This window comes from Homo sapiens, chromosome 5 (assembly GCF_000001405.40).
Source record: "Homo sapiens chromosome 5, GRCh38.p14 Primary Assembly".
NCBI lineage: Eukaryota > Metazoa > Chordata > Mammalia > Primates > Hominidae > Homo > Homo sapiens.
In genome coordinates this window covers 171387116-171412274 of record NC_000005.10, presented here as the reverse complement: position 1 = coordinate 171412274, position 25159 = coordinate 171387116, and the positions used below count along the sequence as shown (strand labels likewise).

The 25159-nt window shown below is 43.4% G+C and overlaps 1 protein-coding gene across 8 annotated transcripts, besides 5 other annotated features; it reads right to left on the bottom strand.

Annotated features, from left to right (window-relative positions):
- NPM1 (nucleophosmin 1) lies at positions 1375-25159 on the bottom strand. Of its 8 annotated transcripts, NM_001355006.2 has the most exons (12): positions 25041-25159; positions 24269-24342; positions 22145-22224; positions 20851-20970; positions 20476-20569; positions 19459-19565; positions 19297-19361; positions 12065-12122; positions 11350-11436; positions 6872-6973; positions 4501-4575; positions 1375-1748 (listed from the first exon to the last, which is right to left on the bottom strand). In NM_001355006.2, exons 2-12 carry the CDS (start codon positions 24324-24326, stop codon positions 1710-1712), a joined length of 885 nt encoding a protein of 294 aa, NP_001341935.1. In that variant the 5' UTR covers positions 24327-24342; positions 25041-25159; the 3' UTR covers positions 1375-1709. The 8 variants fall into 8 exon arrangements, 7 of the variants coding, with proteins under 7 accessions (NP_001341935.1, NP_002511.1, NP_954654.1 ...); NM_002520.7 differs by lacking the exon at positions 25041-25159 and having other exon boundaries at positions 24269-24426; NR_149149.2 differs by lacking the exons at positions 19297-19361; positions 25041-25159 and having other exon boundaries at positions 19522-19565; positions 24269-24426.
- Positions 14463-15184: an enhancer, noted in NCBI's record as "H3K4me1 hESC enhancer chr5:170824095-170824816 (GRCh37/hg19 assembly coordinates)". NCBI's record gives its function as "activates a minimal SCP1, AML or CMV promoter by ChIP-STARR-seq in naive H9 embryonic stem cells {active_cell/tissue: H9 hESC(naive)}" and the evidence as "EXISTENCE:reporter gene assay evidence [ECO:0000049][PMID:30033119]".
- Positions 15185-15906: an enhancer, noted in NCBI's record as "H3K4me1 hESC enhancer chr5:170823373-170824094 (GRCh37/hg19 assembly coordinates)". NCBI's record gives its function as "activates a minimal SCP1, AML or CMV promoter by ChIP-STARR-seq in primed H9 embryonic stem cells {active_cell/tissue: H9 hESC(primed)}" and the evidence as "EXISTENCE:reporter gene assay evidence [ECO:0000049][PMID:30033119]".
- Positions 18109-18616: an enhancer, noted in NCBI's record as "H3K4me1 hESC enhancer chr5:170820663-170821170 (GRCh37/hg19 assembly coordinates)". NCBI's record gives its function as "activates a minimal SCP1, AML or CMV promoter by ChIP-STARR-seq in naive H9 embryonic stem cells {active_cell/tissue: H9 hESC(naive)}" and the evidence as "EXISTENCE:reporter gene assay evidence [ECO:0000049][PMID:30033119]".
- Positions 23706-23765: a silencer, noted in NCBI's record as "silent region_16608". NCBI's record gives its function as "represses an Ori minimal core promoter by ATAC-STARR-seq in GM12878 lymphoblastoid cells {active_cell/tissue: GM12878}" and the evidence as "EXISTENCE:reporter gene assay evidence [ECO:0000049][PMID:35858748]".
- Positions 24086-24145: a silencer, noted in NCBI's record as "silent region_16607". NCBI's record gives its function as "represses an Ori minimal core promoter by ATAC-STARR-seq in GM12878 lymphoblastoid cells {active_cell/tissue: GM12878}" and the evidence as "EXISTENCE:reporter gene assay evidence [ECO:0000049][PMID:35858748]".

The window sequence follows — 25159 nt, the reverse complement described above, 5'->3', positions numbered from 1 at the left end:
GCACTTTGGGAGGCTGAGGCGGGCAGATCACTTGAGGTCAAGAGTTCGAGACTGGCCAACATGGCGAAACCATCTATACTAAAATATATGTATATTTTAGTATATCTATATACTATATATTTATATATTTATTTATTTTTATATGTATATACAAACTTAGCCAGGTGTGGTGGCACACACTTGTAATCCCAACTATTTTGGAGGCTGAGACAGGAGACTGCAGTGAGCTCAGATCGCACCACTGCACTCCAGCCTAGGTGACAGACGAGAATAGGTCTCAAAACAAGAAAGAAAAAAAATTCACGATCACTTCAAAATGTTGGAATAAATAAAATGTTGAGTAATGTTTTTTAGATTTCAGATACACGCCCAAAGCAGCAAGCAGTTGGTATATTAAAATCAACACAAAAATTTAAAGACAAAATCAAAGTCTCTTTCCCAAGTTTAAACAAAAAGGAATGAGAAAAACCATCCAAGACAATCAAACCAGACTAAGAATGGATAGAAGTGGGAGATGAAAATCTCCCAAGGAAAACGGCACAGAACTGGAGAACATTCCCTCACCTACTCAAACTACTGGAGTATAAAGCACAACAAAACAATAGAAATCAAATCAGTATATCTGACTCAGATCATGTAATCAGCTTAAGGCAGAACATATAAAGGTGCTAATTAGTCTCTGAATATCCTCATTATCTACGTGATAAATTTTCTCCTATACATCTGTAAGAAGTACTAGGCAACTTGAGCAAATAGTCACTGAAATAATTGCTTTGATTCAGATAAGGAATCCAGGTTGAGGTCAGGTGCAGTTGCTCACACCTATAATCCTAGCACTTTAGGAAGCCGAGGTGGGCAGATCACTTGAGCTCAGGAGTTCGAGACCAGCCTGGCCAACAAGGTGAAACCCCATCTCTACTAAAAATACAAAAATTAGCCGGGCTGGTGGCTCACACCTGTAATCCCAGCTACTTGGGAGGCTGAGGCAGGAGACCTGCTTGAACCCAAGAAGCAGAAGCTGCAATAAGCTGAGATTGTGCCACTGCACTCCAGCCTAGGGGAAAAAACCATACAGGTTGAAAGGCTGCTTTTAAGCTGTTTTAACATGCCACATTTTCTTTGCAAGTGAGGCTAGAATAGGCAGATAGGAGGTCTAATGGAACATTTGGAAACATGTTGCATAGTTATAATAATTGTTAACTATCATCAGGAGGTGGGAACACAGCACTAAATCCTTATGATGAAAAAGTGGTTAGCTCCAGAGAGAATATTGAAGGGGAGGGCAGGGACATTCTCATAGAATTTTACAAGACTATTTGCCATTCCTAACTACATTAATTATTTCTTTGACAAAGTATAAAGCAGTTAAATAAGTCAATAGAAACCGTGCTACTTTATTAAAATACTGAGTTTTATTTCACATGTATATTTTTGTCTCCCCACCATTTCCATGTCTGACCACCGCTACTACTATGTCCTATCATAACATTCCATACATACTTAAAACCAAGCAAAGGGTGGAGTTCCATCTTTAAAAACTAAACAGGCATTTTGGACAACACATTCTTGGCAATAGAACCTGGACAACATTTATCAAACACGGTAGGGAAAGTTCTCACTCTGCATTATAAAAAGGACAGCCAGATATCAACTGTTACAGAAATGAAATAAGACGGAAAATTTTTTAACAAATTGTTTAAACTATTTTCTTAAAGAGACTTCCTCCACTGCCAGAGATCTTGAATAGCCTGGAAAAAAAAAAAAAGAAATGTGGTTAAGGAACCACAACACTTCATAGACATCAATAAATTAAATGTCTCTTTGCATAGTTCAACATCTATTTTTCATTCTACCACCAGAGAGTTAACTCTAGATAAAGATATGACTCCAAGAAAATTTATACTCAGATGTAATTTAATTCCAAACACTTTAATCAGTCATAAAAATGTGAACAATATACTAATAATTATTTAATAGTTTAGCATTATTTACTTAAGGAAATCAACAGAAAGAACAGAGACCCATATGGCCAATGTTACTTCCAACTTCATCTCCCGAGATCAGCTTTAGAGTTGGCCAGATTTGGCAAATAAAGTTACATAAACACCAGAAACTTATTCTGAATTGCCTGTGCATGTGTGCCTGGGCATGTGTACATTTAGAAAAAACTATATGCTGAGGCTAGGCATGGTGGCTCACGCCTGTAATCCCTACACTTTGGGAGACTGAGGCGGGCAGATCACTTCAGCTCAGGAATTTGAGACCAGCCTGGGCAACATGGTGAAACCCTGTCTACTAAAAATGCAAAAATTAGCCAGGCTTGGTGGTGTGCAACTACAGGAGGCCCAGCTACTCAGGAGGCTGAGGTGGGAGGACTGCCTGAGCCCAAGAGGCAGAGGTTGCAGTGAGCCAAGATCACACTACAGATGGGTACCAAAACAAAAAACAAACCAACAAAAAAAACAGCTGGCCAGGCATGGTGGCTCATGCCTGTAATCCCAGCACTTTAAGAGGCCAAGGTGTTGGATCACCTGAGAGGTCAGGAGTTCAAGACCAGCCTGGCCAACATGGCAAGGTGGTTCTGAAGAAAAGTCCAGAAGTTCACCAAGAACTAGAAATGAGATGACTCAGGATTCTCTCAGCTGTCACTGTTTCACAGCCAATGGGTTCTCAGGTACAAGGTAACTGAATACCGAATGCCAATATTAAATATCATAGAAATCTTTCTTTCTGAGATAGACTCTCACTCTGCCACCCAGACTGGAGTGCAGTGGCGCTCACTGCAACCTCTGCCTCCCAGGTTCAAGCGATCCTCCTGCCTCCGCCTCTTGAGTAGGTGGGATTACAGGTACATGCCACCATGCCCAGCTAAATTTAGTATTTTTAGTAGAGACAGAGTTTTGCCATGTTGCCTCCCAAAGTGCTGGGATTATAGGCATGAACTACCACGCCCAGCCAGAGATCTTATCATCAGGTTCAAACAAATATACATTGTCGTTGCTTGCATCATGCATCTCTATGTCAAAAACAGGAAGCATTTAGTTTTGATAATCTCTGTAACAGCAATTCAAGTTCAAGTTATTAAACATTTACTATTTATTCCAGAAATTTCATTCTGACACTTGAGAACACTTTCAATTCTAGAGCAAAAAAATACTTCTGGTAGGCTGGGCAAGGTGGCTCGTGCCTGTAATCCTAGCACTTTGGGAGGAAAAGATGGGAGGACTGCTTGAGGCCAGGAGTTCAAGACCAACCTGGCCAAAAATACTTTTTATAAAAAGAAAATACTTCTTGTAGAAGTGCTGGTTCAGTAATTTAATAGCTACAAGACTTTGTAGCTACAAGCCTTTGTTATAAAGTACAGAAGACTACTGCAACTTAATCATTAAATTTATCATCACTTTCCTTGGCAGTAGTTGAAGAATGCATCTCTTATGCTGCTTAGCTGTTAGTACATGCTGGTTATTTATGTCTGACTTTCCACTATTTTCAATATTAAATAAACAGTTGCATAACGCGGAGTTTCAAAATAATTTATGATTAATCAATGTTTAGTATTCCAAATAAACTCCCAAAACTCACACTTTAAACTTTAGGATTCAAATGTAGAGAAAAAACAGAACAGCAACCAAAGACTGAACCTGATCATCTTATAGCCCATCACTACAACTTTCACAAAGCTAAACTCAAAATTAACCATTATCAGGGTTTTACGAACCCGAAAACTAAAAATTGAAGTGCAATTAAATAATTGAAGTGCAAAATACTATGGCAGAAAAAAAACCAGCTAATTGCCAAATTTTCCTAATTTTTTGAAAAAAGCTGACCACAGGAAACCTAAAGACCATTAAATGCAGCATCCGTTCTCCACACGATACCTAACATCCCTATTTAACCACTTTTACATTGTCCTTACACTTATGAGTCAACTGTAAATAAGAGCAAAAATAAATGCATAATCTTTATGTTGACTAAGACTTTCACATGTACTAACTGTAAAATCTAACAGCTAACTCAAGCTTATGTATCTGGTAGTAGCCACAATTTAGTGTCTTGCTTCCAGATTTCATGTTAGGATGATTTTGGCATAATGTATTTCCCATAAGATCTAGGAAAAAAAAAAAAAAGATCTCTACCAACTCCCAAAAAAGCCAAGACCAGACTGCCCCAAGCAGTCAAATGGAACAGCAAGGAAAACCACAGCAATTTCCTTAACCAACATAGTACCAAAAAAGTAAAACTGAATTCAATAACCAAGAAATAATTTACCAACTATAGGAAATCTGGGAAAAATATACTAAAGTTATCATCTCAGACTGCCAACTGTATTCTTCATGCATTTCATTAAATACATGAGTTTTCAGGTATTTCATTAAATGAAATATTATCTGTGGTTAGGAACTTTTTAAAAAGAGCCAACACTTAAAAAGGGTAAAGGCAGAATCATAATAAATCACAAAAAAACTTGGATTTAATCATGTCCCCAGAAAATCCAGTTACCTCTTGGTCAGTCATCCGGAAGCAATTCTTCACATAATTGATGAATTTGGCTTCCACTTTGGGAAGAGAACCACCCTATTAAGACAAAAGCATTATTACAGGTAAGTAGAGAAATACACCGAGAGAGATACCTTTAGAAAATTCCTCAATAATCTGCATGCTACTACATGGATCAGTTTATTCTTTTTCCCTTCAACTTTCCAAGAATACTCCGTATCTTTTTCAGGGCCAGAAAGCCCTATTGGGCAGCATGGCTAGTATCTCTATTCAAACAGATTTGCCAAAGGGTCAAATCTTCCCTGACAACCTCTCTAGGAACATAAAATATAAGCTACACTTGAGATTCGACAAACAAACATGGCAACTCGGTTGCTTATCTAAATTATCTAACAAGTCGGTTATCACCCAGAACCAAATACAACCCATAACATCCCTTTGGAGAACCATGTCAAGTGACCCAAACTGTTCTTTAAAAACAAACAAACAAAACCCCACAAAACACTTGCTGACCACAAACTGGTTCAGAACAACAATGATCTGGTCATCAGTTAAAGATATATAAAGTTGAATGGGGAAAAAATTACAGTAATTACATTTCACTAATCACTCTTACCATTTCCTTCAAATTATGGATACAGGCAAGAAACTACAATAGGGGAAAAAATTACAGTAATTACACTTCTCTAATCACTCTCACCATTTCCTTCAAATTACGGATATAGGCAAGAAACTACAACAGTATTGGCAAGACCTGTGACTTTGTAACCAAAATTTCAAAACATTACTATTGCAAATATCTTGAAATGTTTGTATTTATCACTACTTTGGAATTTAAAGCATTGAATATATTTGTTTTTACTAAATTTAATTAATACCTTTCCCTCTAAGTATCTTTTATGCATTTTTAAAAGATTGAAAAGGTTTTCAAATGTCCAAGGGACTTTGGCAGAATCAGGTATAGCATTAAGAAACTTAACTGCCTCCAATAACCTAGTAAAATAAACCTCACAATTTCCATTTCAAAATTATTGTCACATACATTCTTAATTGATGCATTCAAATATTTATTGAGCAGCTAAGGAGATACAAAGGCGATTTAAAACATTGTCAGGTGAGGCAAATGCACAAGTAATAGAAAGCAAAGGGCAAGGTTCACTGAATCACAGCAGTCAGAAGAAAGTGCTTTAGGGAACCAAGAGATTGTTTCCAGCCTGAAGAGGCATGGGTGGCAAATCAGAAAAGGGGATTGAGATTAAAATAGAAGACTTCAGTCTGGATTGTTGATGACACTCAGTATGGACTATATTTGTCTCTCCTTTTCCTTTCTCCCCATCTTTGGGCTTAATTTACATGTAGTGCCCAGGACTGTTCAATGCGCCTGCAATTAAACCAAGGAGATAGGACCATATTAAAATGGAGGGGAGGGGCATCTAAAAGATGTCATTTTAGCATTGTATCCAAGGGACAAAAATCAGTGATAACCAGGAAGGCTAAAGGGTTTACAGTGTGACTAAAAGAAATATGTTCCAGTTCTAAAATTCTTTTTCCAGTGGACTTATCACTGTACAAGGAATCTACTGAAGCCACGAAAAATCTATAGATTACAAGAAAAACATGGGGAAATGAGTTGGCAATTTTTCACCACCCCACATTTGCTCTCAATAGTTGGAGTCTAAAAGTATTATTCATAGAATTAAAGCTTCTCTCAAATGTGCTTCCAAGGCATTTAAACCATTTATTCCATATCCTACTCAAATCCCCCAGTCAAGCAGATGAGAGACCTAACCCTCTTCCCACATTTCCATTATTTAAGACAAAAGGAAACTAGATTTAAGCCTATTAGTCATTCACGAAATCTAGCTATTACTACATGTATTAACTGGTGACAACTTGGTGTAAAGGGCAAAGAGAAATGTCTCAATCTGCTGAAAATCACTTCTGACTAGGGTCAATCATGAATATTAACTATAATACCAAGCAACAGCCAGCATCTACTTTTCCAGCTGTTTGTAATTTTAATGAAGTCTCATACGCCCTCTGTTGGTTCTCTAGCATATCTTACAACCAGAATAGGCAAAGGGTTTTCACTGATCTATTTTAACATGGAAGGTCAGAATGTTATCTTGCAACCAGTGCACTACGTTCCTTGCATAATGGAAAATAAGGCATATTTAATTTTGCATATGCAAAAATCACCACAGACACGATTATAAATGTTTTATAAGAAATTTTTGAAAAAATTCATACCACGAACCAGGCAAGTATATTAAACCAAAACAAACAAAAAAACAAGAAACATTCAAGTCTATGCAAACCAGACACGTGCAATTTGAGGGGGGAGACAAAGTTTTTTTAAGATAACTTTACTCACTTTTTCTATACTTGCTTGCATTTTTGCTTTAATGTCTTCTACAGAACTAGGTCCTTTTGGTGTTTTAGGAGTTTTTTCCTGTTTCTTGAAGGATTCTTGTCCCTGAAAAAGAAATGAATTTCCAAAAGGTCATAAGAATAAATACAATTCCTAATTAAAACCCATTCTATCTGGATTTCCTCAAATATTCTCACAAAACTCCCTTATAAAGCTAATTATACAACTGGAATTATCATCAATAAATTCACGCCATATAATTTTGTTCTTAAAATCTTTCCTTTAAGGAAGGAATAAGATGATTAGCTAGGCATGGTGGTGCATGCCTGTAATCCCAGCTACTCAGGAGGCTAAGGCAGGAGGATTGCTTAAGCCCAGCAGCTGGAGGCTGTAGTGAGCTATGATCATACCACTGTACTTCAACCTGGGCAAGAGTAGGCCACCCATCTCTTTAAATAAAAAAAAAAAGAGTAACTTGGGAGTTTGCTTTTATGCACAGTACTAAGTCAGTTCAAAAAAGGAAATCAGGGCAGACAGAGTCTCGTTCACTCAGTGCTCAATGGTGCCCAGGCTGGAGTGCAGTGGCGTGATCTCGGCTCACTACAACCTACACCTCCCAGCCGCCTGCCTTGGCCTCCCAAAGTGCCGAGATTGCAGCCTCTGCCCGGCCGCCACCCCGTCTGGGAAGTGAGGAGTGTCTCTGCCTGGCCGCCCATCGTCTGGAATGTGAGGAGCCCCTCTGCCTGGCTGCCCAGTCTGGAAAGTGAGGAGCGTCTCCGCCCGGCCGCCATCCCATCTAGGAAGTGAGGAGCGCCTCTTCCCAGCCGCCATCACATCTAGGAAGTGAGGAGCGTCTCTGCCCGGCCGCCCATCGTCTGAGATGTGGGGAGCGCCTCTGCCCCGCCGCCCCATCTGGGATGTGAGGAGCGCCTCTGCCCGGCCGAGACCCCGTCTGGGAGGTGAGGAGCGTCTCTGCCTGGCCGCCCCGTCTGAGAAGTGAGGAGACCCTCTGCCTGGCAACCACCCCGTCTGAGAAGTGAGGAGCCCCTCCGCCCGGCAGCTGCCCCGTCTGAGAAGTGAGGAGCCTCTCCGCCCGGCAGCCACCCCATCTGGGAAGTGAGGAGCATCTCCGCCCAGCAGCCACCCCGTCCGGGAGGGAGGTGGGGGGGGGTCAACCCCCCGCCCGGCCAGCCGCCCTATCTGGGAGGGAGGTGGGGGGTCAGCCCCCCCGACCGGCCAGCCGTGCCATCCGGGAGGGAGGTGGGGGGGTCAGCCCCCCACCTGGCCAGCCGTGCCGTCCGGGAGGGAGGTGGGGGGGTCAGCCCCCCGCCCGGCCAGCCGCCCCGTCCGGGAGGTGAGGGTTGCCTCTGCCCGGCCGCCCCTACTGGGAAGTGAGGAGCCCCTCAGCCCGGCCAGCCACCCCGTCCGGGAGATGGGGGGGTCAGCCCCCCCACCCGGCCAGCCGCCCCGTCCGGGAGGGAGGTGGGGGGGTAAGCCCCCCGCCTGGCCGGCCGCCCCGTCCGGGAGGGAGGTGGGGGGGTCAGCCCTCCGCCCGGCCAGCCGCCCCGTCTGGGAGGTGAGGGGCGCCTCTGCCCGGCCGCCCCTACTGGGAAGTGAGGAGCCCCTCTGCCCGGCCAGCCGCCCCGTCCGGGAGGGAGGTGGGGGGGTCAGCCCCCCGCCCGGCCGGCCGCCCTGTCCGGGAGGGAGGTGGGGGGGTCAGCCCCCCGCCTGGCCAGCCGCCCCGTCCGGGAGGGAGGTGGGGGGGGTCAGCCCCCCTGCCCGGCCAGCCGCCCCGTCCGGGAGGTGAGGGGCGCCTCTGCCCAGCCGCCCCTACTGGGAAGTGAGGAGCCCCTCTGCCCGGCCACCACCCCGTCTGGGAGGTGTGCCCAACAGCTCATTGAGAACGGGCCAGGATGACGATGGCAGCTTTGTGGAATAGAAAGGCAGGAAAGGTGGGGAAAAGATTGAGAAATCGGATGGTTGCCGTGTCTGTGTAGAAAGAAGTAGACATGGGAGACTTTTCATTTTGTTCTGCACTAAGAAAAATTCCTCTGCCTTGGGATCCTGTTGATCTGTGACCTTACCCCCAACCCTGTGCTCTCTGAAACATGTGCTGTGTCCACTCAGGGTTAAATGGATTAAGGGCGGTGCAAGATGTGCTTTGTTAAACAGATGCTTGAAGGCAGCATGCTCGTTAAGAGTCATCACCAATCCCTAATCTCAAGTAATCAGGTACACAAACACTGCGGAAGGCCGCAGGGTCCTCTGCCTAGGAAAACCAGAGACCTTTGTTCACTTGTTTATCTGCTGACCTTCCCTCCACTATTGTCCCATGACCCTGCCAAATCCCCCTCTGTGAGAAACACCCAAGAATTATCAATAAAAAAATAAATTAAAAAAAAAATAAAAATAAAAAATAAATAAATAAATAAATAAAATGAAAAAAAAAAAAAAGAACTACCTGAGATTGGGTAATTTATGAAGAAAAGAGGTTTAATTGACTTACAGTGCTGTAGGCTGTATAGGAAGCATGGCTAGGAGGCCACAGGAAATTTACAATCATGGCAGAAGGCAAAGGGGAAGCAAGGCACATCTTACATGGCAGCAGAAGAGAGAGAGCACAAAGGGGGAGGTGCTACACACTTTCAAACAACCAGATCTCATGAGAATTCACTATCAACAGAACAGCAAGAGGGAAATCTACCCCATGATCCAATTACCTCCCACCAGGCCCCTCTTCCAACACGTGGGGATTACAATTTGAGATGAGATGTGGGTGGGGACACAAAGCCAGACCATATCAGGTATTAGGTTGATTCCATGTCTTTGCTATTGTGAATAGTGCTGCAGTGAATATTTGTGTGCATGTATCTTTATGGTAGAATGATTTATATTCCTTTGGGAATGTAATGGGATTGCTGGGTCAAATGGTAGTTCTGTTTTTAGCTCTTTGAGGAATCGCCACTCTGCTTTCCACAATGGTTGAACTAATTTACACTCCCACCAAGAGTGTGTAAGCATTCCCTTTTTTCTGCAACCTTGCCAGCAGCTGTTGTTTTTTGAGTTTTTAATAATAGCTATTCTGACTGGTGTGAGATGGTATCTCATTGTGGTTTCGATTTGCATTTCTCTAATCAGTGATATTGAGCTGTTTTTCATATGCTTTTTGGCCACTTGTATGTCTTTTGAAAAGTGTCTGTTTATGTCCTTTGCCCACTTTTTAGTGGGGTTGTTTGTATGGAGGTTCATCATTAGTTACATTTAGTCAATAGATTATATGTGTTGTAGAATATGAAATTTATTCGTTTAAATTGTAAATAAACTATTTCATCAGGTTAAAAAAAAAAAAAAAAGGAAATCAGAAAATCCCTAAGAATAAAGCAAGAAAGTCACTGTAGTCTGATGCCTGGCGCCCACCCCAGACCATTTTTATGACAATCTCCATAAGTAGAGCACAAGTACTGGGGTTCCTTTAAACTTTTTTTCCTTTAAATTCCATTTTCTGCAGGGAAGTGGGTAGGGTCAGGAATGAGATCAATACACCCTGTCTAGGCCCAAATGTTCTACTTCAAGCTAACATGCAGCCAAGGTTGAGAACTTCTACTCTATGCAGACATACCTTTCAACAAAGATTCCTTACAGGAAACAACTATTGACTTCACAATCACAAAAAATTCAGGCCAGGCGTGGTGGCTCACACACTTTGAGAGGCCCAGGAGGGCGGATCACCTGCAGTCAGGGGTTTGAGACCAGCCTGGCCAACATATAGAGTGAAACCCCATCTCTACTCAAAAATACAAAAATACGCTGGGCCTGGTGGCACGCGCATGTAGTCCCAGCTACTTGGGAAGCTGAGGCAGGAGAATCGCTTGAACCCGGGAAGTGAAGGTTGCAGTAAGCCGAGATCACGCAACTCTAACCCAGACTGAGTGACAAAGTGAGGGTCCATCTCTTTCAAAAAAGTCTATTGGCTCCCCCCGCCCCACCACCTTACATTTAGTATGTTTGTGTGTGTGTGTGTACCTACAACACACAACAAGCTGATTTTTTTTTTTGGAGGCGGAGTCTCGCTCTTTTGCCCAAGCTGGAGTGCAGTGGTGCAATCTCACTGCACTCCACCTCCCAGGTTCAAGCAATTCTCCTGTCTCCACCTCCTGAGTAGGTGGAATTACAGGCACATACCACCATGCCTGGCTAATTTTTGTGTTTTTAGTAAAGACAGGGTTTCACGATGTTGGCCGGGCTAGTCTCAAACTCCTGACCTCAGGTGATCCCACCCACCTTGGCCTCCCTCCCAAAGTGCTGGGATTACAGGAGTGAGCCACTGAGCCTGGCTGCAGCAAGCTGATTTTAACTTTTAAACAGCAATTACAGGGGTTCTATAAAGGCCTATCAAATTTCAGACACACTAGATTCTTCCACAGTAGAATCTTTTTCCCCAACTAGATCAATGAGACCCACGTGTAAATGTAGCCACTTACTTTTGATCTTGGTGTTGATGATGGTTTTGAGTCTTTTCCATTCTGATTTGACTTTTGTGCATTTTTGGCTGGAGTATCTCGTATAGACTGCAATTAGAAATTTATCTTAATCACTGTCCCTGACCCCAACAACAGTGCAAACAAAGCTGTCCAAGCCATGTAAGACAAGCAGCAACCACAGGCTTGGCGTGGTGGCTCATGCCTGTAATCCCAGGACTTTGGGAGGCCGAGGCAGGTGGATCACGAGGTCAGGAGTTCGAGACCAGCCTGGCCGACATGGTGGTCTACTAAAAATGCAAAAATTAGCTGGGTGTGGTGGCATGAGTCTGTAATTCCAGCTACTCAGGAGGCTGAGGCAGGAGAATCGCTTCAACCCGGGAGGCAGAAGTTGCAGTGAGCTGAGATCGCGCCACTGTACTCCAGCCCGGGTGACATTGAGACTCCGTCTCAAAAAAAAAAAAAAAAGGAAGGAAAAAGCAGCAACCACTTGGACAAAAGGTTACACAAGACTAACAAACTGGGTGGAGGGCCACATGGATAAAGAAAACAGACCATTCCCCACTCTTAAGTTTTCTGTAATCCTCCTCAGGACTAATTTTCAGTATGAGATGATCTCCCACACCAGCTTCCCTTAACTACAAAACAAGCAAATAGCACTAAAAAATCACCATTTCTATTGTTAGTTTAACAACCTTGTAGCATTGTATCTACTCACTTTCTTCACTGGCGCTTTTTCTTCAGCTTCCTCATCATCAAAATCATCATCATCATCACTACAAATGAAATGTCAAGACATTAAGCACTTTCAAAATTTGGGAGTAGACACAAGAATTGAAAGCAGGACCTTGAAGTGATTATTTGTGCACCCATGTTTATCGAAGCATTGTTCACAACAGCCAAGAGGTGAAAGCAACCCAAGTGTTAAATGACTAAATGAAAATGTATATGTACACACAATGAAAATCCTCTTGCATGCTACATGACTGAACCTTGAACAAAGTGAAATAAGCCAGCCACAAAAGAACAAACACTGTATGATTCTATTCATTAAGTATCTAAAAGTAGTCAAACTCAAAGAAATAGAAGGTATAATTGTGATCGCTAGGGGCTGGGAAATGAAGTTGCTCAATGAGTAGTTTTGCATAAATACACACTATACCACTGTATAATGTATGTATATTTAAGTAATGTATAGTTCTATTAAACTGTACACTCAGAGTGAATTTGTGTTAAAAAAAAAAATTAAAGACCTAAATAGAAACATTCCATGTTCAGATATTGCCAAGATGGAAACACTCCCCGAATATACAGGTTAAATACAATCGTTAGAAGACTCCCCAAGCTGGTTTCTCTGTAGAAACAGATCCTAAAATTTATAAACAAACCCAAGAACTGGCACAGTGTCTCACACCTATAATCCTAACACTTTGGGAGGCTGAGGTGGGAGGATCGTTTTAGTTCAAGACCAGCCTAGGCAACATAATGAGAACCCTCTCTACAAAAAAAATTTTTAATTAGCAGGCGTGGTGGTGTGCGCCTGTAGTCCTAGCTATTTGAAAAGCTAAGGCAGGAGGATCTGCTTGAGACAGTGAACTGTAACTGTGTAATTCTGCCACTGCACTCCAGCCTGGGTGACAGAGCAAGACCCTATCTCAAAAAACAAAAACAAAAAAGACACTTAAGGGACCCAAAGAGGCCAAATGCAATCTGGAAAGGAAGAAAGCTAGAAAACTCACACTTGATTTCAAAAAATCAGCTATAAGACCTACAAAGGGGCCAAGGCACCGTGGCTCACGCTTGTAATCCCGGCACTTTTTAGGAGGCCGAGACGGCCAGATCACCTGAGGTCAGGAGTTTGAGACCAGCCTGGCTAATGGGGAAACCCAGTCTCTACTAAAAATACAAAAATTAGCCGGGCATGGTGGCGGGCGCCTGTAATCCCAGCTACTCAGGAAGCTGAAGCAGGAGGAACCAGGAGGCGGAGGTTGCAGTGAGCCAAGATCACGCCACTGTGCTACAGCCTGGGTGACAGTGAGACTCATTTCAAAAAAATAAATAAATAAAAACCACAGAGGAACAGTGTTGTACTGTTCTTACATGTTAAGGATAGACACATCAACAGAACAGTCCAGAAACAGTGATTTTTTTGTTTTTTGAGGCGGAGTCTCGCTCTGTCGCCAGGCTGGAGTGCAGTGGTGCAATCTCAGATCACTGCAACCTCTGCCTCCCAGGTTCAAGCGAATTCTCCAGCCTCAGCCTCCTGAGTAGCTGGGACTACAGGCACACGCTACCATGCCCAGCTAAAATTTGTATTTTTAGTAGAGACAGGGTTTCACCAAATTGGCCAGGATAGTCTCAATCTCCTGGTCATGATCCGCCTGCCTCAGCCTCTCAAAGTGCCGGGATTACAGGTGTGAGCCACCACACCCAGCCATAAGTGACTCTTTTAAAGGTTGCCAAGATCATTCAATGGGGAAAAAATAGTTTTTGAACAAATCATGTTGGGGCAACTGCTAATCTACATCCAAAGTCTATATTTAGACCCCTCCATTCACACCATACACATAAGTTTACTCAAAATGGAACAAAGCCCTAAATATAAAGGACAAAACTCAGAATTAAGGGGGCAAATTTTCACAACTTTGAATTTAGCAATGATTTCTTAGGATTGACACCAAAGGCACAAGCAACAAAAGAAATCGGACGTCATAAAAATTAAAAACTTGTTCAAAGGCCACCATCATGAAAGTTAAGTAACAATTCACGGAATGGTGGAAGATAATCTGTAAATCTTGTGTCTGATAAGGGACTTGTTTGCAGAATACATAAAGAATTCTTGGGCCCAGTGCAGTGGCTCACGCCTGTAATCCCAGCACTTGTGGGAGGCCGAGGCGGGCCTGACCTCAGGAGTTCAAGACCAGCCTGGCCAACATGGCGAAACCCGGTCTCTATTTAAAATACAGAAAATTAGCCGGGCGTGGTGGGGGGGGTGCCTGTAATCCCAACTACTTGGGAGAGGCAGAAGAATTGCTTGAACAAGGGAGGAGGAGGTTGCAGTGAGCCAAGATCACATCACTGCACTCAAGCCTGGGCAACAGAGACTTGTCAAAAAAAAAAAAAAAAGAATTCTTGCCAGGCACAGTGGCTCACAGCTGTAATCTCAGCAGTTTGGGAGGCAGAGGGAGGTGGATCACTGAAGACAGGAGTTTAAGAACAGCCTGGCCAACATGGCAAAACCCCTTCTCTACTAAAAATACAAAAATCATATCAAAAAGAAAAAAGAAAAAAGAATTCTTACAACTTAGTAAAGACAAAGAGAAGTAAATGGATTTAAGTGGGCAAAAACATTTCTCCAAAGATATATGGCCAATGAATACATGAAAAGATGCTCATTATTAGTCCACAGGGAGACGCAATCAAACCCACAATCAGCACTTCATACCACCAGGATTAGAGTCAGATAATGGCAAGTGAGGGTGTAGTGAAATCAGTAGGTTGGAGTGAAATCAGAAGCCCCATACACTGCTAGTGGGAATACAATGGGTGAGCCACTCTGCTTTAGGTGTACATCCAAGTAAAATGACATGTCTACAAGCGTTCATAGCAGTCAACAAGTAGAAGCAACTCAAATGCTCACCAACTGATGAATAACCAAACATACCCATACAATGTATTCAACCATATAAATAAATGGAGTACTGATAATGCTATAACATGGATGAAACTTGAAAACACTGTGCTAAGAAAACAGTCACAGAAGTCCATTCGTGCAAAATATGAGGGACAGGAAACCTATAGACAAAGTTCATTCGTGGTTGACTAGAGCTGAAGAGCATGAGGGGTAATACCTATAGAGTACGATTTCTCATTGAGGTGATGAAATGTTCTAAAATTGATTATGGTGATGGCTACACAACTATGCATACTAAAACCACTGAACTGCACACTATTTTTTTTTGAGTTTTACTCTTGTTGCCCAATCTGGAATGCAATGGTGCGATCTCGGCTCACTGCAACCTCCGCCTCCCGGGTTCAAGCAATTCTCCTGCCTCAGCCTCCCCAGCAGCTGGGATTGCAAGCGCCCACCATCACACCCAGCTGTATGTTAGCAGAGACGGGGTTTCACCATATTGGCCAGGCTGGTCTTCAACTCCTGACCTCAGGTGATCTGCCCGCATCGACCACCCAAAGTGCTGGGATTACAGGTGTGAACTGTTAATAGGTAAACAATGGAGGGGAGTAATCAAATCGAGTCACTGGAGGGCAAGTCAGGCAGAAGTCTCTATTAGCAAATACCAAGGGGTTCACGTTTAATTCAACAACTGAACGTACTGGTCTCTAAATCCCAATACAGCAACTTCATGTAAGAAACACCTATCTTTCCAATACCGAAGAAATATTTGCTGTATTTAGAAAAAGTATCATAACTTAAAAAGCTGTCACAAATAGCCCTTCAAGTGGCTTTTTAACAGTGATTTTGTCAGTACAAGTTTCTGGCATTAGAACCCAATCCCTGCAGGTGCCTCCCCTGTGCTAGAAACAAGATGAGAATGCTTTTTTTAAACATTTTTTCTTATTTGTTAAAACAAGTCTATTAAACTACTATCAAAATAGCTATCAAAACTACTATCAAAACAGCTTTACTGGCAGGGTGTGGTGGCTCACACCTGTAATCTCAGCACTCTGGGAGGCTGGGGTGGGCAGATCACCTGAGGTCAGGAGTTCAAGACTAGCCTGACCAACATGGCGAAACCCCATCTCTATTAAAAATACAAAAAATTAGCCTGGCATGCTGGCACATGCCTGTAATCCCAGCTACTTGGGAGGCTGAGGCAGGAGAATCACTTGAACCCGGGAGGCAGAAGTTACAGTGAGCCATGATTGCACCACTGCACTCCAGCCTAGCCAACAATGCACTTCAGCCGGGGCAACAGAGACTGTCTCCAAAAAAAAAAAAAAAAATTCAGCTTTACTTAAGAAATTCCCCAAAAATTAAAAAAGACATTTAAGGGCCACATACTATCAACGTATTACATACATCTATGTATAGTATACATCAGCACTATGCACATTACATAGCCTTTCTTGCTTAAATCAAGAGTCATCTGAGCCCACACCATATACCCATTCCATCCTCAAAAAGGAACCAAATTCCCCTTTGATCTGTGTTCAAAAGGTTAGATTTCTAAGTAACTATAACGAACCTTCATGCACCTCTTTGCATTTTCATTGCCATCTATCTATGCTGGGCCCTTGCCATCTCACCACTGAAGTTTCTATTAATATTTGTTTCCCTCAAGGCATCCTTTACTACTATGCAGACCTTAGTACACTTTCTTCAACTTATATGAAAACTTGCGGCGGTGCATGGTGGCTCACGCCTGTAATCCCAGCACTTTGGAGTTCGAGACCAGCTTGGCCAACATGGTGAAACCCCGTCTCTACTAAAAATACAAAACTTAGCCAGGCGTGGTGGCAAGTGCCTGTAATCCAAGCTACTCTGGAGGCCGAGGCAGGAGAATCACTTGAACCTGGAAGGCAGAGGTTGCAGCGAGCAGAGATCATACCATTGCACACCAGCCTGGGGCACAAGAGCGAGACTTGCCGAAAAAAAAAAAATCCCACAAAAAAAACCAGGTACTGATTTGGACCTTGATATCTACACTTTTCATTCCTATCAATGCCCAACTTAAAGACAAACAAAATTACATTGTGGTTACATCATGAATTTATACCCATTTTTCTGAGATGGGAGTCTCCCTCTGTTGCCCAGGATGGAACACGGTGGCGCATTCTTGGCTTGCTGCAACCTCCACCTCCCAGGTTCAAGCAATTCTCCTGACTCAACCTCCTAAGTAACTGGGACCAATAGGCAGGCACCACGATACCCAGCTAATTTTTGTATTTTTAGTAGATACCGGGTTTCACCATGTTGGCCAGGCTGGTCTTGAACTCCTGACCTCAAGTGATCCACCCACCTCAGCCTCCCAAAGTGCTGGGATTACAGGCGTGAGCCACCATGCCTGGCCTAATTATATCAATTTTTAAAAAAGGAAATCTTCCAAAGCCCCAACAGGGTCAATACTACAATCAGGTCCTACTCCAAAGCCTTTCTGGAAGGGATTGCTTGTCCCCGAGCCTCGGTGAATGCTATTAAACACTTATTTTATAAACTTGTACAAAGGTAACTCAAAATCAGACTAAACCAATCCGAACCATACCATCCCTATTTCTAATTTGTGTTTTTAGCCTGTTTCCCATTCTTCTCTTGGAATGTATTTCAATTCTTACTAACGAGAAATATTCTTAAAAGTGATAACCAAACAAGCTGGGCTTGGTTATGCTCCTGTAACCCCACCTGCTTCATAGTCTGAGAGGGGAGGATAGCTTGTGCCCAGAGATTCAAGTCCAGTCTGAGTAGCATGGTAAAACACCATCTCAAGAAAAAAAGTGGCCGGGCACGGTGGCTCATGCCTGTAATCCCAGCACTTTGGGAGGATGAGGTGACCAGATCGCCCGAGGTTAGGAGTTTGAGAATAGCCTAGCCAACGTGGTGAAACCCCATGTCTATTAAAAATACAAAAATTTGGCTGGGCGCAGTGGTTCACATCTGCAATCCCAGCACTTTGGGAGACCGAGGCAGGTAGATCACGAGGTTAGGAGTTCAAGACCAGCCGGACCAACATACTGAAACCCTGTCTCTACTAAATACAAAAATTAGCAGGGCATGGTGCCCCGAGCCTGCAGTCCCAGCTACCCGGGAGGCTGAGGCAGGACAATCGCTTGAACCCAGGAGGCAGAGGTTGTGGTGAGCCGAGATGGCGCCACCGCACTCCAGCCTGAGCAACTGGAGACTCCATCTCAAAAAAAAAAAAAAAAAAAAAGAAAACAAAAACAGCAACAGTCAAATACTACCTTTAAGTTTGCGTTCATTTATAAGTTTGACATGCAAGTACTTTGAATTTTTATTTTTCTTTTGAGATTGGGTCTTGCTATTTTGACCGGGCTGGCCTCAAGAGATCCTCTCATCTTGGCTGGGTGTTAGGATTACGGGTGTGAACCACTGCGCCTGGTCATACTTTGAATTTTTAAGCTTTCGGCTCTTTCGGCCTTTTTCCTGTTTTCTGCCTTCATCGTCATGCTCAAAGATTTTGAAGAACCACCAGCTTAAAACCTAAACTCCCAATTTGATCTTTCATGCAGGTTCTCTTTTAAAGTGCATGTTCTTATATTTGTTTTCAATAAATGCATATGGACCAACCTCAGAACTGAAGGACAAAGCTGAGAGCCAAATCAAAGTATTCAATGCATTACTGGTACTGGCACACATAAGACCAATTATAAACAGTACTTTATACCAGTGTGCGTATTAACTGTTTGTAACAATAGTTTGATCTAGTTTAATATAAAGTCATCAAATATTGTTTCCAACCATATTTTAAATCCCAAGAAAATCTTAATATCCCTTTTAGAATCTTATTTTTGTCAATAAATATCTACATAAAACCATAAGACAAAATCCTTTTAGGGAATAACAAACCTTGAGTAACAACTTGTAAAATGAATATAGAGCTATTTAATCATATTTTCTTTCAACCCAATCTCATTAACTGCTCACCATAAAACATACCAGGCTTGATGGGTATAACACATCCACTAAATCTTCAGAACAAAGGGACATAATCAAACTTCACAAACACTATAGTCTACCCTTCTGAAGAGTCACAAGTCACAGCATTGTAAAGGCTCACAGACCCAATATCCTTTCAACTCAGCTCATTTAACTTAAACTGACAACAGATGACCACCTGCCCTTTTATTATAAACTATTACATAGGATGGCTTTTTGTAAATGACTTTTATAAAACCCTCATGCATATAACTATGTCAAATTCCTTTTTTTGTCAAGATTCCGGAAGTATATCAAGTTTCTAAAATCATACTTACTCTTCATCATCATCCTCTTCATCATCATCGTCATCATCTTCATCAGCAGCAAGTTTTACTTTTTTCTTTTAAAAGAAAAGATACGTACTCATGAACAAGAGCTGTTCTATCACCAAACTAAAAGCTATAATACAAAACCTATAATAAAATTGCCATCTCTACCTGTGGAACCTTGCTACCACCTCCAGGGGCAGACCGCTTTCCAGATATACTTAAGAGTTTCACATCCTCCTCCTCTTCATCTTCTGACTCTGCATCTTCCTCCACAGCTAAAATACAATTTATTAGACATTATAAAACTCAAGCAGCAAGAAGTCAGAAAAAAAAAGAACACTGATAGTAAATACTCTAAAAACTGAGACTTCTATTCTATTTAAAAAAAAAAAAAAAAAGAGCACATGGGAAAAGGAACTTTTTAACAAAAGTATTTTGAGGCCTAATGTTCACTGCCAGGTTTTAAATGCAAGAAGCCTGGGGAGGGTGGCTCATGCCTGTAATCTCACTTTGGGGAGGCCAAGGCGGACCACTTGAGGCCAAGAGTCCAATCTGGGCAACATACTGAGACCCCATCTGCACATATACAAAAAAAATTAGCCAGGCGTGGAGTGTGCCTGTAGTTCTAGCTATTCCAGAGGCTGAGGTGAACCCAGTAGCAGTTCGAGGATATAGCAAGCTATGATCACATCACTGCACTCCAGCCGTTATAATGAGACTGTCTTTATTAAAAAATAATTTTTAGGCCAGGCACAGTGGCTGACACGTGTAATACTAGCACTTTGAGAGGCCAGGGCGTGCAGATCACGTTAAGGCCAGGAGTTCAAGATCGGCCTGGCCAACATCACGAAACCCCTTCTCTACTATAACTATGAAACGCAACTGGACTTGGTGGTGCACGTCTGTGGCCCCAGCTACTGGGGAGGCTGAGACAGGAGGATCGCTTGAATCCCGGAGAGGTTCCAGTGAGCCAAGATCGTGCCACTGTACTCTAGCCTGGGTGACAGCAAGATTTCCTCTCCCCCCCGCCCCAAAAATTTATTTGTCCTCTCCAATTTCTAGACTCACATTGGAACCTATTAAAAAGACAGTAGTACTATACCCATGCTTTAAGTCCAAACTGGGAACCAAGCAACTGCACTAAAGAGGACAAACTAAGTAGTATAATATATAAAAATAACATACCTACTAAGTGCTGTCCACTAATATGCACTGGCCCTGAACCACACTTCAACCTTAAGACCACTGGTGGTGTTATTTCAAAGCCCCCAAGGGAAACCTAGAAGGGAGAAATTTTTCATCACTAAACATGTGAAGAAAATGAACAATAAACATTACAGGCAAACACATAAGCCAAATCAACAAACCAGTGAACCTGTTTTTCCACCTCTGATAAAAGTAGCAGCAGAAGCCCCCATGTTCAAGAGTTGACCATCGAACTCCAGTGACAGAAGATAAAGAACCACTTTCTATCTCCTTGGCACAACTAAATGACACCAAACCTACCTTAAAACAGAATTAAACCTTGACACAACATCCAAAGTATGTAAGTGCCCTTACCGTTGGCTGTACAGACATTTTCAAAGTTGCCAGTGTTACTTTAATTGGACTGCCTTCGTAATTCATTGCCTCTGCTTCAACAATGTGCAACTCATCCTTTGCACCAGCCCCTAAACTGACCTGTGAACAAAAAAAAAATACTACTTCAACTTTTGAGTTCCACCTATTTTACACCCCCCCACTAAATGTTATATGCAGCCATGCGTCACTTAACCACAGGGCTAGGTTCTGAGAAATGTGTTGTTAGACAATTTCATCTTTGTACAATCATAAGAATGTGCTTATACAAACCTAGATGGTATAGCCTACTACACACACCTAGGCTACAAACCTGTACAGTGTTACTGTACTGAATACTGTAAGCAACCGAAACACAGTATTTGTGCATCTAAGCATAGGAAAGGGCCGGGCTTGGTGGCTCATGCCTGTAATCCCAACACTTAGGGAGGCTGAGGCGGGCAGATCATGAGGTCAGGAGTTTGAGACCAGCCTGGACAACATGGTAACAACCTCGTCTCTACTAAAAACACAAAAATTAGCCAGGTGTGGTGGCACATGCCTGTAATCCCAGCTACTCGGGAGGGTGAGGCAGGGAATTACTTGAACTCGGAAATCAGAGGTTGCAGTGAGCCGAGATTACACCACTGCACTCCAGCCTGGGTGACAGAGCGAGACTGCCTCCAAAGAAAAAAAAAAACAGGAAAGGTATATTAAAAATAAGGTATAATAATCTTATGGGACCACCATTGTATATGCGATCCATCTGTTGACCCAGCAGTTGCAATGAGGCACATGACTGTGATTTTTTTAAAAAACAAGTATAAACCTCTCACTATTACCCTGGAAAACAAATTTGTGCAATGTTGTCCTCAGGTTTTGTGATCTTGGCAAATCAGTTTCTCATATTCAGAAAATTTAAGAAATGCATAAATATGCATACACACAATATAGACCACCTAACATATTTATTGAGCAACTTCTAAGTTGAGCAGAAGGCTAGTCTCTGGTAGACATGAAAGATTATCGATGCCTTTTACAAGGGCTTTGTAATTCAACTGAAGAAAATAAGGCAAGTTGAACAGTGTGACTGGAATTTACATGGTTACCAAATGAGTGGTATAGATGCCAAGTTCTTCAAAGATGTACAGACAGTGAGGTACACACAATACCCAGGTGTAAGAAATAGTATTTTATAAGCAGTCAGCAAAGGAAAAAAAGTCTCAAGCCACATGAATAGAAACTAAAAGGCTGAAATCAAGTAGGGTTAAGTAGTTTATTTTGAAAGTTTAAGTACCGTTCTTAAAGATAACTGGTGCTCATTTTCATCATTATCCACCTTAAAGTGATAATCTTTGTCGGCCTTTAGTTCACAACCTGTAAATGAAGAAAAAAGCAACTCTAACAAGGAGAAAAATAACACTGAAACTTAAGTGTGGGTAACCAAAAAGGTCAGGTCTAACTTTTGAACTAGTTTTTCACTATTTTAGCTACCAGAGGGCAAAGCAGAATGATCAATTCCTAGATTTCTTGAACAGAAACCTCTACAGACACCCATAAAAGACTATAATTCCATTCTCTCATCATACCATATTTCATCTCTAACTACGCTGATAGGTACTGTTATTCTGCATAAACAAGCTCAATGGTTTAGTAAATCTCAACCTGAAGCAATTATCTGAAACCAAATGTAATGTCCAATGTTAAGTTTCCCACTATTTAAAACAGCTGATTTACCTACCTAAATTCCCAAATGGCAATTTCGAAATGAGAACGGTTACAAACATGAATAGCTTACTATTACAAAAGAAAAATGACAAAAGTAAAAGAACCGAAGTTTGCTACAGGGATCAACACTCCACTCTTTAAAGCAACAGAAAGTGACATACGCCTCAAACTATATTCAGAAATTATGTTTAAGACAAGGAGGGTTCTTTCCGATAGTTATCAAAAAGTACTGATATAAATTTACCAGAATTCTCAGCTATCCAAAATAACTAGGAATTAAAGCCTTAATGTTTTGAATACATATGTCTACTCTCACTCCATGAATGGGCAAAATTCTTCAAAACACTGTCAGAATAAAAATTTTAAATGATTCCATTTAACTATCATCTAACCGTTACCAATACATATACATGCTTAAATGTGAACAGACGTTTAATTAACAAATCTCAGCACGGATAATGAACAAGATAAAATTCACGGTAGGATTTGCATTTACTTCAAAGTCTGAATAGTACAAAGATTAGGCTTCTGCAATTAATCCTACTGAGATCAAAAACCCAAGTGGGACTCTCCTTTTTGGGGCAGGACTACCGCAAGTCGAGGGGGGTGGTGCTCCCAAAATTCTGCGAATAGTCTTAGGTCTTGATCTGACTCAAACCGAACACTCTACGTGTTTCTTGTATTTAGAAAAGCAGTTTGGTCAATGCCGCACAAATGGCGGCATGCGAGGACGTCCCCCTAAAACGAAGCCTCATTAATATTCACGAAGCAGCAGCTACGGAGTCAAGCGTCTTGGTTTAGATTTAGTCTCTTATTGCCTTTACTAAGTACAACCTTCGTTAAGTGAGTTTATCTCTGGGCACCAGTATCCTCATCTGCAAAGTGGGGCTAGCTCCACCTACCGCAGTGAGACAGAAAAGGGGCTCAAAAAAATGAGAGCTGCCATCACAGTACATGCTGTAAGCACTGAACAAAGACCTCCAGAACCCTAGTGCTACCAGCCTCTTAACATTTCCCACTTCAACAGAGCCACAGCATCCCTGGCTCACGAGTGGCAACACGCCGGTGAGTCCCGGATGTAGCGCCCACACCCCCCTCCCTCCCCCAACCACGTGGCAACCACGTGCTCCCAGCGGTTGCGGCCTCCTCACGCCGCGCCGCGCCTCCCCACCCCCAGTAACTGGCCGAAGCACGCGAGGTAAGTCTACGTCCGGCAGCTCCAGGCTCTGAGGCCAGAATAACGCCAGGCTGTGCATCTACCCGCTCCAACAAGCAGGCCCATGCTTCCCGGTGAACCCAGCCTCCAGGACCACCAACCCGGGGCCTGGCATCAGAAGCCTATGAACCACCGCCGTTAGAAAATAAACCACGCCTGGAGCTCCGCCACGTATCCCCGGCAAAGGCCGAACTTCCAGGCGGCCGGTTCCACTTTACCTCAGGCCCCGGGCCTCGGACCGCTCACGCCCCAGACGCTTCAGGCCGCTCGTCTCCTCCCCCTTCACGCCACCGGCTCCCCCCGCGGCTCCAATCCCTCCAGGTCCAGGGCTCAGGCAGCTCTTCCCACCCGCTCAGGCCTCCCGTCGGTCTGGCGGTCTCCACCAGACCCGGTTGCAGCCGGATTCCCGCCCCTCACCCCCACCCTCACCGCCACCAGGCCCCGCTCGGCCTCGCTCCAGCTCCCCCCAGCAGTTACCGAAAAGATAGTTCTGGGGCCTCAGGGGGCTCATGTCCATGTCCATCGAATCTTCCATCGGGTGGCGGCACGCACTTAGGTAGGAGAGAAGGCGGACGGAGATAAAAGAACGCTGCTCCAGAGAACAACCGCGCAGGACGGAATCACACCAGGGAAAGGACGCAGGCTCCCCGCGCTTATATATAGACCCTGAAGATCTCGCGAGCGCTTCCCAAGTCCCGCCTCCGCGCGCGTGCTCCGAAGCCCTCCCACCCCCGTACCGTAGCCGTCCTGCGCAAGCGCTTTTCAACCCCACTCCTTTCTACCTCGCCCCCACCTCCTTCCAGGTACTCCGCGGGCTCCCACCGAGCACGCGCACTCGTACACTGGCCCCACCCCTCCGCTGCTGTCGCCTGTGCGCACGCGTGCTTTCCAGTCGTAACGCGCACTCCCCACCTCCAACCCTTCCACGTCCTCTCCCGCTCAAGCGCGCCGGCCTCCCGCCAAGAGTCTGCGCAGCCCACCCTGCAAAATGGCGTCGGCAGCCCTTAGCTGTGTAAGATATGGCGGGTTAGCCGGCTGCGAATGAGCCAGAGAGCACCTCGATTCACCTTTCCCCATCCCCTAGTGCCCTGCAAGCCTCCAAACAGGCGTAATCACTTCAGGAATTTTTTACTTGCCTGAAGGCTTCGGATCGCAGTTAATCGTTACCCCAAAGTTCAGGTGCCAGAGAGAGTGAATTGCGGCTTATTCTTTGTTAGGAAGGAAAGATGTAGTTACCGGCCAGACTTACGGAACTTTGTTTTTCAGCTCTGTCCTTCCTGAGAAAACATCTCCAAAGTCCTTATCTTTACGTAACTTGGGGGCCAAAAGGGGACTGAATCAGTCTCCAAATTAGCAAGGACATCGCCC

Excerpts from the sequence above, each read along its gene's own strand:
- NPM1 (NM_001355006.2), bottom strand. The coding sequence starts at position 24,326 with ATGGAAGATTCGATGGACATGGACATGAGCCCCCTGAGGCCCCAGAAC. Across the intron at positions 22,225-24,268 it reads GCCCCAGAACTATCTTTTCG|GTTGTGAACTAAAGGCCGAC; the intron begins GTAACTGCTGGG and ends CTTCATTTACAG. Across the intron at positions 11,437-12,064 it reads AAAAAGCGCCAGTGAAGAAA|TCTATACGAGATACTCCAGC; the intron begins GTGAGTAGATAC and ends TTCTAATTGCAG.